General features: G+C 42.7%; 1 long non-coding RNA gene across 1 annotated transcript in view; it reads left to right on the forward strand.

The window, feature by feature from the left end:
* The window catches only part of TTTY4B (testis expressed transcript, Y-linked 4B), a 36,824-nt gene extending 23,364 nt beyond the window's left edge, over positions 1-13,460 (forward strand). The window contains exons 2-4 of the long non-coding RNA NR_002178.1: positions 3,804-3,879; positions 5,684-5,791; positions 12,460-13,460. This is a non-coding gene — a long non-coding RNA (testis expressed transcript, Y-linked 4B). The remainder of the gene's footprint in view (positions 1-3,803; positions 3,880-5,683; positions 5,792-12,459) is intronic.
* Positions 13,461-13,943: the final 483 nt, after the last annotated feature.

Genomic DNA, 13,943 nt, shown 5'->3' on the forward strand with positions numbered 1-13,943 from the left:
ACAACTAGATAACAGTTTATGATGTCATGCTTAAAGATGAGGAGATTATGCCACATCCCTTGGCTTAGTATACCGGTATTGAGACTTTTTGGTTTAAATTCTTTTCCATGAGGTCATTGTTACATATCACTGGATCAGAACCATGACAATGTGACTCTTCTATCTTGGCCCTGCAAAGAGCAGATATTTTCACATATCTCTGCATCTATTGGCTAAGTGACATTTCCCTCCTGCCAGTGCCCTGCCCACAGGGGACACTGTGACATATTGCTACATATAGCATCTAGGTAATGTGACCCTCCTCTCCTGGATGGATCCTGTTGACTGAAGAAATTGTGACATACCACTGAGCACAAAGTCTAGGTGACATGGCTCTCTTCTTTGTTGTGTACTCTGCCAAAAGAGGGAATTATTACATATTATTGAGCCCAGCATGCTCGTGGTCTAATTCTTTTTTTTTTTTTTTTCTTTGAAGATGTCTACATTGGGCATGGTGACATATTACTTGAGGCTATACCCAGGTGATGTGGCTCTTCTTCCTGGTTTCTGCCCACATGTTAGATTGTGACATATAACTAGAGAAGAATATAAGTGATATAACTCTTCTTTTCTACCTGAGCCCTGCATACAGGGGCACCGGGATGTTTCTCTGAGCCCATGACCTAAGTGAAGTGACTCTCTTCTCCTGCCTGGTCTTTACAATGAGAGGATGGTGACATTGGTGACATATGGCTGAGCCCAGCACTCGGGTTATTAGACAAACAAAGATTTTGACCTATTGCAGGGCCAAGCATGCAGATAACATTACTCTTTTGCCTGGGTCCTGCACATATGAGGGATTATGGCATATTTCTGGGCCCAGCACCCTAATAATGGCTCTCATGGCTGACCCAAAGCCACAGAAGGTATTGTGATATATCCTGGGCCCATTCTGTTGGAATTTTGGCTTTCATTTCTAGGTTGTCTTTTTCCACATATGGGATTTTGTCATATTGCAGTTCCAACACCCAGTTAATGTTACTCTAATCCCTATACCCTTCTTAGAGAGGACATTGTGACATGATGCTTGTCACAGCACCCAAGTGATGTTACCTTCCTGACTCACTTTTTGACCACAAATGGGACTATGTCCTACACCTTACTTCAGTTCACAGGCATGATGGTCAAACTCATGCTGGGATTCAGCCAGTAGGATACATTTTGCCATTCATTACTAGGCTTAGGGAAATAGATGAGGTCCTGGGTTTCATATTTGCATCAAACTCAAAAACTTTACACTAACTCATAATGTATACATTTCTTGGGTTGTAAAGAGAGTTTTATGAAAGAGATCATCAAAAGTTTAGATTAGGACTCTCCGTTAGACACCCAGGTGAAAGCAAATGTCGTCACCATCCCACATGTACAAAGCCCACTATTAAGTTCCTAAGTCTAAAAGTGAATAGAGAACAAAATTGGAGTTGTGATCTTCATATGTTGATCTGGCCTCAAATGGGAGGGTGACTCACTTCTGGATCCAGCTTACAGGCAAAATAAGGGGTCTCATCCCTGAACCTAGCCTACAGAAGATATGTTGACTATCGTATCTGGGTTTATGGCAGTATATAAGATAATGAATCCATACAAGCATGTTGGCCTCAGAGTGGTTTGCAACTCTCACGAATGCTGTATAAAGCCTTTGAAAGTTGTAGAGTGTGATACAATGATCCAGGAAACACATGAGATTGTGTTTCTCATATTCACACCCAGCTCACAGTGAATCATGTCACTCTGAAAGACAAGGAGTTCTGGCATATTACGAAGCCTGTTACCAAGATGTTGAGACTTTTTGGCTTAAATTCCTTCCCATGGATTCACTGTGACATATCACTGGGTTAGAATCATAATAATGTGACTCTTCTGCCTTGACGCTGCCAAGAGGGAATATTATCACATATCTCTGGGTCTATAAGCTAGGTGATTTGTCTCTTCTTTTTGTGCCCTGTCCCCAGGGGACATTGTGAAATATCGGTTTACATAATATTTAGAAAATGTGACTATCCTCTCCTGCCTGGGCCCTGCTCACCATAGAAGTTGTGACATACCGCTGATTGCAAAATCTAGGAGATGTAGCTCTCCTTCATATTCTAGACTCTTCCAAAAGAAGGATTATTACATATTGCCGAGCTCAGCATCTAGGTGGTGGAACACTCCTCTTTTTCTTCTTTCCTGTCTTTAGTGGGCTTGGTGACATACTGTTTGAGGCTGTACCCAGGTGATGTGACTCTTCTGACTAGGCCCAGCCAAAAAATGAGTATATACTGTATCACTGGCTCAGCACTCAGGTGATGTGATGTTACCCTTCTGATTAGCCCCAGACTACAAACAAGATTATACTATATAACTGGCTCAGCACCCAACTGATGTGACTCTCCTGGCATTTTTTCTGCTCACAGATCCAGCTGTGACATGTACCTTGTTTAAGCACACATGCACAATAATAATTCTCATACCTGGACCCATCCAGTAGAGATAACTGACTCTCACAGCCAGTCTCACAGCCATTGGTAAAGTCCTGGGCTTTTCACTTGTATAAATTTCACGAAGGATTATAACACTCAGGTATATCACATAAAGCCTTAATGATACAAAGAGTGTAATAACAGAAAGCAGCAATGAGGTGAGAACACTTGTATGTACACCTAGCTGACACGATTGACATTCTCCCACATGAACAGGGCCTAGGAATGAGGTAATAAATCATGCACATAAAAAGCAGTCAAAGATTGAAATAATTACTCTTATACATGGATCTGATTCACAGGTGGTTTGGTAACATACGAACCATGATTCAACACACCTGTAGTGCTGACTCCCCTACTGGAAAACCATCTTCAAGTGAGATTGGGGCTCTTATACATGAATCTTGCTCGTTGCTGAGATTGTGACTCCTCTGCTTCAACCCAACTCACAGAAAAATTGAATCACTTACACAAAAGAAATACTTGTGTGGGATGTGGAACTTATTTCCAAATCTTTCTGAGAATATAAAAGGGAGAGGTAACTTTGCCTAGCACATGAATCGTCTGACTCTCTTTTCTAATCCCAGACTAGATTTTGCCATATGTGAAACAAGCACCTAAGAAACATATAATAGTTTCCAGAACTCCCACTGCAAAGGTCACTTTTATATATCACTGGGACAATCACCTAAGTGATGTAAATTATCTGCTGAAAACTGCCTACAAGAATTGTGTCTTAAATCTAGGTACATCACATAAGTGTAGTGAGTCCCTTCTACTGTCTTGGCCCTGCACTTACACTGAAATGTGACACATAACTGGGTGCTGCACCCATGTGACATGATTCTCCTTTTTGAGCTCTGCTAACAGGAAGCATTGGAACATATCACTTGGCTCAGCACCTAGGTGATGTTTCTTCATATTTTCTCTGGGCCCTGACCATGGGGAAATTGTGACATATTGCTGCACCCAGCACTAAGTTGTGGTCACTCTACAGCCTTGGTCTTGCACATGAGGGTCATTGTGACATATATCTGCACCAGTTGCCTAGGCTAAGTGGTTCTCCTCTCTTGCCAAAGTTCTGCCCACATAGTGAGTTTTGATATGTCACTGCAAGCAGCATGCAGGTGATGTGGCTTTTCTGCCAGGGTCCTGCCCGCAAAGTGTATTGTGACATTTTACTGGACCCGCACACACATAGCTGATGTGACTTTCTTGGCTACTCTCTGGCCACAGGTTACATTCTTGTCTGCAGCATGCCCACAAAAATTATTGTGACATATTTCTGTGTCCACCTCATAGGTGATGTAACTTTCCTCTCTGGAATGGGCCCTGCTCAAAGAAAAGGTAGTGACATGATTCAAGACTGAGAACACAGGTGAGGCTACTCTTTTGCCAAAGCCATGCCCAAAGGAGAGGATTCTGATGTATCTCTGGTTATGTGGCTCTCCTGCTTGGGTATTGCCAACCTGGAGCGTGACATGTTTCTAGGCCAGGCACACAGGTGATGGTACTCTTTTGCCAGGGCCATGCCTCATAGAGGACTTTGTGACATATCTCTGGCCCTATCACCTAGGTGTAGTCCATTCCTCCTTAGGCACTACCCACATGGAGCATTGTGGCATAGGCAGAGAACCTGCATGTAGGTGACGTAACTCCATTGTCTGGCAGCTGTTCTAAGAGAGCCTTGTGAAATATCTCAGCATGCAGAACCCAAGCTATGTGGCTCTCCTGTCTGTTTTCTGCCCACATGTAACATTGTGATATATTCCTCAGGAAGCACCTAGGTGATATGAATCTCCTTGACTGCCTGAGCCCTGCCTACTGGGGTCATTGGGATATATCTCTGAGCCCATGACCAAAGTCATATGGCTCTCTTGTACCAGGGCCTTTAAAATGGTGGGATTGTGACATGTTTCTGAGCCCAACATTTACATCATGTGACTCTACTCTTTTTTCTGAACCGTGACCGCAAAGAAATTTTGACCTATTGCACTCAGATGATGTTATTTTTCTGCCAGAGTCCTGAATAAAGATAAAATTATTGCAGATGGTCAGCTGAGCACCCTGATGATGGTACTGTCCTATCTGTGCCAGAGCCACAGAGAGTATTTTTGACATGTCTTCGGCTTTTTCTGTAGGAGTTTTGGCTCTTATCCCTTGGCTAATATTTTTCACATGTGGAATTCTGTAATATTGCTGGGCGCAGCACCCAGTTAATGTAACACTCCTTCCTAGGTTCTGCCTAGAGAGGGCATTGTGACATGTCGATTGCCATATCGCCTATGTGATGTTACTCTTTTTCCTAATTTTTTGCCCACAAATGGTATTATGACATATACCTTGCTACAGCTTACAGGTATGATGGTCTCTTATATTAGGATTCAGGCAATAGAAGATATTTTGCCTCTCATCGCTAGGCTTAGGGCAACATGTAAAATTCTGGGTTGGAAATTTCTTCAAAGCTCACAGAAGTTTACAACACAAATTTGTCTTGTATAAACTACTTGGGTGATACAGGGTTTCATAACAAGGCCCAGCAAAGAGTTAAGATTGTGACTGTCAATTACACACCTAGGTGAAAGTAAAAGTCGTCACTATCCCACATTTACAAAGCCCACCGTTGATGTACTGAGTCTAACAAGTGAAAAGAATATAAAGATAAAATTGTGGCTCTCATATATGGATCTGGCCACATGTGCGATTGTGACTCATTTTTGACCAAGCTCACAGACATTCCTGACATCAGCCTAAATAAGAGATGTTGGCTATCATACCTGTGCTTAAGGCAATATATAAGACTGTGATTTCATATAAGCATGTGGGCCTCAGAGTAGTTTGCAACTCTCACGCATGCTATATAAAGCCCTCAGACATTACAGAGGGTGTCATAGCATGGCCCAGCACACACGTGACATTGTGACTCATATACACACCAAGCTAACAGTTAAAGGTGTCACTCTCAAAGATGAGGAGATTGTGTCTTATCGCTGGTCCTAGTACCCAGGTGTTAAAACCTTTGCATAAATTGTTTCCCTTGTTTGCATTGTGATATATCCTGGGTTCAGAATCATAATAATGTGACTGCTCTACCTGGGCCCTGCCAAAAATGTATATTATCACAGATCTCTGAGCCTATCAGCTAGGTAATTTGTCTATTTTGCCCATGCTTTACCCTCAAGGAACATTATGACATATCTTGAAGTAACATCTGGAAGTGTGACGCTCGTCTCCTACCTGGGTCCTGACCGCAGAATGAATTGTGACATACGACGGAGTACAAAACCTAGGTAATGCAACTCTCCTCCTTGTTCCAGAGTCAGCCAAAAGAGGTAATTACTACATATTGCTGAGCTCAGCACCTAGGTGGTGTGACTCTCCTTTTTTTCTTCAAACCTGTCTACAGTGGACATGATGCCGTAGTACTTGATACGGTACCCAGGTGATGTGACTCTTCTGACTTGGCCCTGCCTTTGAAGGAGTTTATAATGTATCCTGAGCTCAGAATCCAGGTGATGAGACTCTCCCACCTTGCTTCTGCTCACAGGTTAAATTGTGACATATAACTGGGTTCAGCTCACATGCACAAATAAAATTGTCATACCTAGAACCAGAAAGGAGAGATTTTTTGACTCCTATAGCCAGTCTTATGGCCACAAGTAAAGTACTGGGTCTCCTAATGGTATAAAGTTCACAGAGGATTATGACACTCTGGCATATTATATAAAGCCTGAGTGGTAAAAACAGTGTTATAACAGGGAACAGGAAGGAAGTATCATTGTGACTCTTGAATGCACAGCCAGCTGACCCGGTAGTCATTCTCTCACAAGAACAGGGCCTGCAAATAAGGCATTAAACCTCACAAAGAGAGCAGTCAAAAGTTAAAATTGCTCCTCTTCTATATGGGTAGTTTGGTGATGCACGATTGAGCACATCTGTGAGGCTGTGACTCCTCTGCTGGAACACATTCTTCAAGTGGAATTGGGCATCTTATACATGAAGCTTGCCCACTGTTGAGACTGTGACTCCTCTGCTTTGACCCAACTCACAGGAAGTGTTGACTCACATACAAAAATCCAGAACTTGTGTGGGACTGTGAAACTTATTTCTAAATATTTACTATCATGTGGTCAGGACATAAAAGTTAGCTGATCCCCTGAACAATTTGACGACCAAACACCTAAGTATAGATGCCTGGGTGTGCATACAAAGGGCAATTTTACATATTACAGGGATCAGCACCCATGTGATGTGAAATATTTGCCTTATCCCTGCCTATAAAAGACTTTGTGGCTTATATCTAAGTTCATCATGTAAGTGATGTGACTGCTTTCTACTGCCTTGGCCCTGCACTTATAGTGCATTGTGACACATAACTGGATACTGCACCCAGGTGATGTGAGTCTGCATTTTGGGTTCTGCCAACAGAAAGCTTTGTAACATATCACTTAATTCAGCACCTAGGTGATGTTTCTCCTTTCTTGTATCACCCTGACCGAAGGGGAGATTGTAACATTGCTAAACCCAGCACCAGGTGAGATCACTTTTATACCTTGGTTTTGCACATAGCGGCCAGTGTGACATATGTCTAAGCCAATTGCCTAGGTAAAGAGGGTCTCCTCACTTACCTAAGCCCTGCCCACATGGGGGATTTTGATATATCACTGCAACCAGCATCCAAGTGATGTGACACTCTTTCCAAGGCCCTGCTTACAAGAAAGATGACTACATCTCACTGGACCAGCACCCACCCAGGTGATGTGACCTTCCTCCTTGCTCTCTGTTTACAGGTGATATTGTGCCATATACCTGAGACCAGACAAAAGGACTAATCACGACTCTTAAATCTGGACCCAGGTCATATGCAAGATGGTTATTCCCATTCCTGGAACTTTCAACCAGTGTTATTGTTATATATACTTTTGCCTAGCTCCTGAGTGATTTAATAATCCTGCCTAGGTGTAGCCCACAAATGAGATTTGGAAATATACCTCGGGTGATCACCTTGGTGATTTGACTCTCCTGTCTTAACAATATCCTAAGGAAAGATTGTAACATGTCTCTGGACCCACCATCTAGTTACCTGACTCTCCTCTCCTGCCTGGACCCTGCTTCCACTGGGGATTATAGCTTTTCTAAGCACTGCATCTAAATGATATGACTCTCTTGCCTGGTCCTTTCAATGGGACACATTGTGAAATATCTCTGGGCCTATTATTTAGGTGGTATGAGACTCCTCTTCTGTCTAGACACTGCCCACAAGGGGCATTATGCCATACATCTGGGTGTAACACCCAAGTTACAAAACTTTTCTGCAAGGAACTTGTCTACAAGAAAAATAATGGAAAATTTCTGGTTCAGCATTTAGATGACTTAGCTGTCATGCCTATTTCATTACCACAGAGTAAATTGTGACCTATACATAGGCACAACTTACAGGTATAATGACTCTTTTATGTAGACCCCACAAATAAAAATAACTTTGACATTTCTAACTTACTTTAGAAACACGAGTAAATTATCTGGTCGTGGTGGCTCAGGCCTGTAATCCCAGCACTTTGGGAGGGTGATTCAGGTGGATCACAAGGTCAAAAGATCGAGACCATGCTGACCAACATGGTGAAACACCATCTCTGCTAAAACTACAAACAGTAGCTGGGTGTGGTGGTGTGCGACTGGAGTCCAAATTAGTCAGGAGGCTGAGGCAGATGAATTGCTTGAACCCAGGAGGTGGAGGTTGCAGTGAGCAGAGATTGCAGCACTGCACTCCAGCCTGGGTGACAGAGCCAGACTCTGTCTCAACAACAACAAAAACAACAACAAAAACAAGAGTGAATAAATCTCATAAATCTCTTTCTGGTAAAAAAGAAAAAAAAAAGGTCAAAGAAGATTATAACACCCTCAGATATTTTATAATGCCCTTGGCTTGTACAGAGAGTGTAAAAACACTATTCAGCAGAAAGGTGAAATTGTGAGTCTCATATACACACCCAGCTGACAGTAAATACTGTCACTGTCTGAAATATGTGAAGCCAGCTCTCACTCATGAAAACAAGACATGTGTGGTAGTGTAAATCTCATTTCAGGAATTTTCTCCCAGTGTCATTTTGAAAAAACATCCTTGCTGACCATCTGTGTGACTTGACTCTCCAGACTGGTTCCAGCCTGAGGTTGTTATTGTGATTTCTACCTGGTCCAACATCTAGGTGATGTGACTCTCCTGCCTGGGTCCTGCTCTCGGTAAGGGTCATGACATATCACTAGGTCCACCACCCAAGTCATGTTAAATTTTTGCCTGTGCCATTCCCACAGACATCATTGTGACATATCACTGTGTCGTATGTCATACAACCACTTAGGTGATGTAACTCTCCTCATGACAATGGGCCCTGCACACAGTGGGGGATAGTATCATATGGCTGGGTCAGGCACGTAGATGACAGTAATCTTTTATTAGAGCCGTGTCCTAATGAGGGCATTGTGACAAATCTCTGGTACTATCACTTAGGTGATTTTGCTCTCCTGCCTGGGCCCTGCTTACCTTGATAGTGACACATTACTAGGCTAGGCAAACAGGTGATGGTACTCTTTTGCCCGAGCCATGCCTTAAGAAGGATATCGTAACATATCTCTGGCCTATTACCTAGGTGATCTGACTATCTTTTTGAGCCCTGCCCACGTGGAGCATTGTGACATAATGGTACAACCCGCACCTATTTGTTATAACACTCTTGCATGGGTGCTGTCTTAAGGGAGGCTTGTGTGATATATCTCAAGAGCCCACATCAAGGCGATGTGGCTCTTTTGCCAGCTTTCACCTCATATGTTAGATTGTGTTATATACCTAGGGAAGCCCCTATGTGATATGACTCTACCCTTCTGCCTGAGCCCTCCTTACTTGAGACATTGGGTCATATATCTGAGCCTGTGTCTTAAGTGATGTGAATCTTTTCTTCTGCCTGAGTCTTTGCAATGGGGTGATTTGACATACTGCTAAGCCCAATACTTAGGTACTATGACTCTTTTTTCCCCAACCATGCCCAAGAAAAAGATTTTTGAGGTATTGCAGGGCCCAGCACCCAGATAATCTTTCAATTCTACCTGGGTTCTGCATAAAGAGATAATTATGGCATATTGCTGGGCCCCTCACCCTGATGATGTAACGCTCCTTCCTGTGCCAGAGCAACATAAAGTATTTTTACATATTATAGACCCATTCAGTAGGAGTTTTTGGTGTCATCATTTGTCTGGGTTCTTTTTTTTTTCCACATTTGGGATTGTGTCATATTGCTGGGTCCAGCCCCCATTTAATGGATCCCTCACTTCTATATCATGCCTAGAGAGGGCATTGTGACATATTGCTTGACACAGCACCTAAATTGTGCTACCCTCCTGCCAAGTTTTTTTTTCTACAAATGGGATTTTGAAATTTACCTTGCTTCATTTCAAAGGCATAATAATCAAACTTATATTGGGATTGCACCAATAGTAGACACTTTGCCTCTCATTGCTACACTTAGGGCAATAGGTAAGGTTATAAGTTGCATATTTGCATAAAGCTCACATATGACAACACTAATTCAAATTCTGTAAACTTTTTGGCTGGTACACAGAGTTTTATAACAGGGCCTAGCAAAAGGTTAAGATCGTGACTCTTGATTACACATGTCATGCAGGAGAGAGATGAAGATTTCATTATCCCACATTTAAAAAGACCACTGTTGAAGTCCTCAGTCTAACAAGTAAATAAAGTACAAAGATGGAATTGGGACTTTCATATGTGTGTGTTGCTACAGTTGAGATGGTGATTCAGTTCTGGACTCAGATCACAGACATAATAATGGGTCTCCTGTCTGAACCCAGCCTATAAGAGAGATGTTGTCTATCATAACTGAATTTAAAGCAATACATAAGATTGTGAGTCAACAGGAGCATGTAGGCCTCAGAATGGATTGCAAATCTCATGCATGTTACATAAAGCCTTTGAATATTGTAGAATGTGTCACACAATGACCCAGAACACGTTACATTGTGACACTTACATACATACCAGTAAAAAGTGTCACCCAAAAAGATAAGGAGATTGTGTCATATCACTATGCCTGGTAACCCTAGGTGTTGAGATTAGTGGCTTAAATTCTTGACCATAGGTGGATTTTGAAATATCGCCGGGTTAGGATCATAATAATGTGTACTCTTGTTCTTGGACCTAGCAAACAGGAAATATTATCACATATCTCTAGTCCTGTTTGCTAGGTGATGTGTCTCTCCTGCCAGTGTCTTGCCCACAGGGAACACTATGACATACCACTAGATATAGCATCAAGGTAATGTGACTCACCTCTTCTGCCTGGATCCTGCCCACTGATGAAATTGTGACATACCCCTGAGTGCAAAACACAGGTGATGTGACTCTCCCCTTTGTCCTGGACTCTGTTAAGAGCAGCGATTATATCATATTGCTGAGCCCAGCACGTAGAGGATGTAACTATCCACTATTTTTTCAACCCTGTATGCAGTTGTCAAGATGACATATTATTTGAGATTGTACCCAGTGATATGACCCATGTCACTGGCTCCTTACCACAGAGGAGATTATAGTGTATCCATGGCTCAGTATGCAAATGATGTGACTCTTATGCCTTGTTTCTGTCCAAAGGGAAAATTGTGATACATACCAGAAATCAGCACACTTGCACAATAATAACTCTCATACATGAACCCAGCCAGGGGGAATATTTTAACTCTCATAGTCTGTCTTACAGCCACGGATAAATTCCAAATCTCCCACCTATAAGAAATCACAGAAAAGTAGCCTAGTCAGGCATATCATATAAATCCTGAGTGGTACAAAGGGTGTCATAACAGGCACCAGTGACCACGTGCTATTGTGACTCTTGGACGCACACCCAGCTGGCATGTTTGTTATAAACAGGGCCTATGAATGATTTACTAAATCTCCCTCCCATAAGCAGCTGAAGCTAGAAATTGTTACCTTATATATGAATCAGATCCATAGGTGGTTTGGCGATGTTTGAACCACAACTCAGCAGACCTTTGGTGATTTGACTCTTATCCTGACACACAATCTTCAAGTGGGATTGGGGCTCTTATACATGCATCTTGCCCATTGTTGATATTGTGACTCCTGTACTTTGACCCAGTCATAGGAGATGTTGAGTCTCATGCATGAAGCTCAGACTTGTGTGGGACTGTGAAACTGATTTCTGAACACTTTTTAGTGTGTGAATGAGAAGTGTGACTTTGCCCAGCATCTGAGTGTTTTGACTCTGCTTTCTAGGCCCAGAGCAGAGTTGAAATTGTGACATACATGCAACAAGCAACATATAACACCTTTAGCAACGTGACAGGGGGCACTTTTACATGACACTGAAACCAGCATTCAGCTGATGTAAAATCTTGGCCTGAGCCCTGCCTGCAGACAGCACTGTGGCTTTTTTCTAGGTCCATCACATAAGTGATATGACTTCTTTCTACTGCCTTGGCACTGCACTTATGGTGCATTGTGACACATAACTGGGTACTGCACTCAGGTAATGTGACTCATTTTCCTGTGGCGCTCTGCCAATAGGAAGCTTTGTAACATAACACTTGGTTCAGCACCTCAGTGATGTTTCTTCTCTCTTGCCTGAGCTCTAACCACTAGAGAGATTATGAAATGTTGCTGAACCCAGCACCAAAGTGAGGACACGCTCCTGCCTTGGTCCTGCACATAGGGGCTATTGTGACATATCTCCAGGCCAATTGCTTAGGTGAATTTTGTCTCCTTTCCAGCCTAAGCTCTGTCCTTAGGGTGGATTTTCATATATCACTTAAACCAGCATCCAGGTGATGTGACTCTTTTCCAGGAGTCTTGCCCACAAGGAGGATTGTGACATTTCACTGGACCAGCACCCACTGAAGTGATGTGACTTTCCTTTCTTCTCCTTGCCCACAGGTGAAATTATGCCATATACCTGAGACAGATCAAAGGAATAATAACAACTTTATACCTGGAGCCAGGATGTGCAGAATGGTGACTCTCATTCCTGAACATTTCCACCAGTGCTATTGTGACATACACCTTGGTCCAGCTCCTCAGTGATTTAATAATCCTGCCTAATTATAGCCTGCATATGACATTTTGACATATACCTGGACCTAGAACCTTGGTGATTTGACTCTCCTGTTGTAGAGGGTCCTCAGAAAAAACTATAACATATCTATGGGCCCATCATCTAGGTAATGTGATGTTCCCCATTTGTCTGAACCTCCTTTCAGTGAAGAGTGTGGCATTTCTAAACACTGCATCCAAATGACATGACTCTCTTGCCTGGGCCATTTCAACAGGAGGCCTTGTGACATATCTCTGAGCCCATCATTTTGGTGATATGACTCTCCTCACCTGCCTGGACATTGTCCACAAGAGGCATTATGCGATAGAGCTGGGACTGGCACCAAAGTTTTCTGACTTTTCGGTTAGTGCCCTGCTGACAAAGAGAACGTTGTAATACTTCTGGCTTAGAATGTAGGTGATGTGTTTGTTCTATCTCTTTTATAACCAAAGACGGGATGGTGACATATAACTAGGCACAGCTAATAGGCATGATAATGACTCTCTTATGTGGACCCAGCCAATAGAAGAAATGTTGCCTCTTATAACTAGGTTTAGGGACATGAGTGATGTAGAATCTCCTTCTGGTAAAAAGGTCACAGAAGATTGCAACACTCACACATATTTTTTAACACCCTTGTGTTGAATAGAGGGTGTCACAAAGCACCTAGCACACAGAATAAATTGTGAGTATTGTATGCACACCCAGCTGACAGCAAGGAATTTCACCATCACAGGTGGATGAAGGCATCTGTCCTACATGAAAACAGGACATGTGTGGTATTCTAAATCTAATCCCCAGAATTTTATTTCTTCAAGACTGTGATATAAATCTTTGCCAGTTACCGGTGTGATTTCACTCTTCAGACTGGTTCAAGCCTACATATGGCATTTTGATATTTACCTGGGCCAACCTTGACATGATGTTACACTTCTGCCTGGGCCCTGCTCTCAGTAAGAATTGTAACATCACTGGATCCAGCATCCAGGTGATGTTACATTCTTGCCTGTACCATGACACACACGTTATTGTGACATATTACTGTGTCCATCACTTAAAAGAAGTAACTCTCCTCTCTAGAATGGGCCCTGCACACAGGGCAGGATAGTGACGTACTCCTAGGAGTGGCACAGAGGTGATGATACTATTTTGACAGGGCCACGCCCCAAAGAGGGCATTTTGAAATATTGCAGGGCCTATCATAGAGATAATATGTCTCTTCTGCTTGGGACCTGCACACTTGAATAGTGACATATTGCTAGGCCACACACAAAGGTGATGGTACTCTTTTGCCAGGGACATGCTTTAAGGAAAGCTTTGTGACATA

The sequence above is a fragment of the Homo sapiens genome, chromosome Y, assembly GCF_000001405.40.
Source record: "Homo sapiens chromosome Y, GRCh38.p14 Primary Assembly".
NCBI classification, from domain to species: domain Eukaryota; kingdom Metazoa; phylum Chordata; class Mammalia; order Primates; family Hominidae; genus Homo; species Homo sapiens.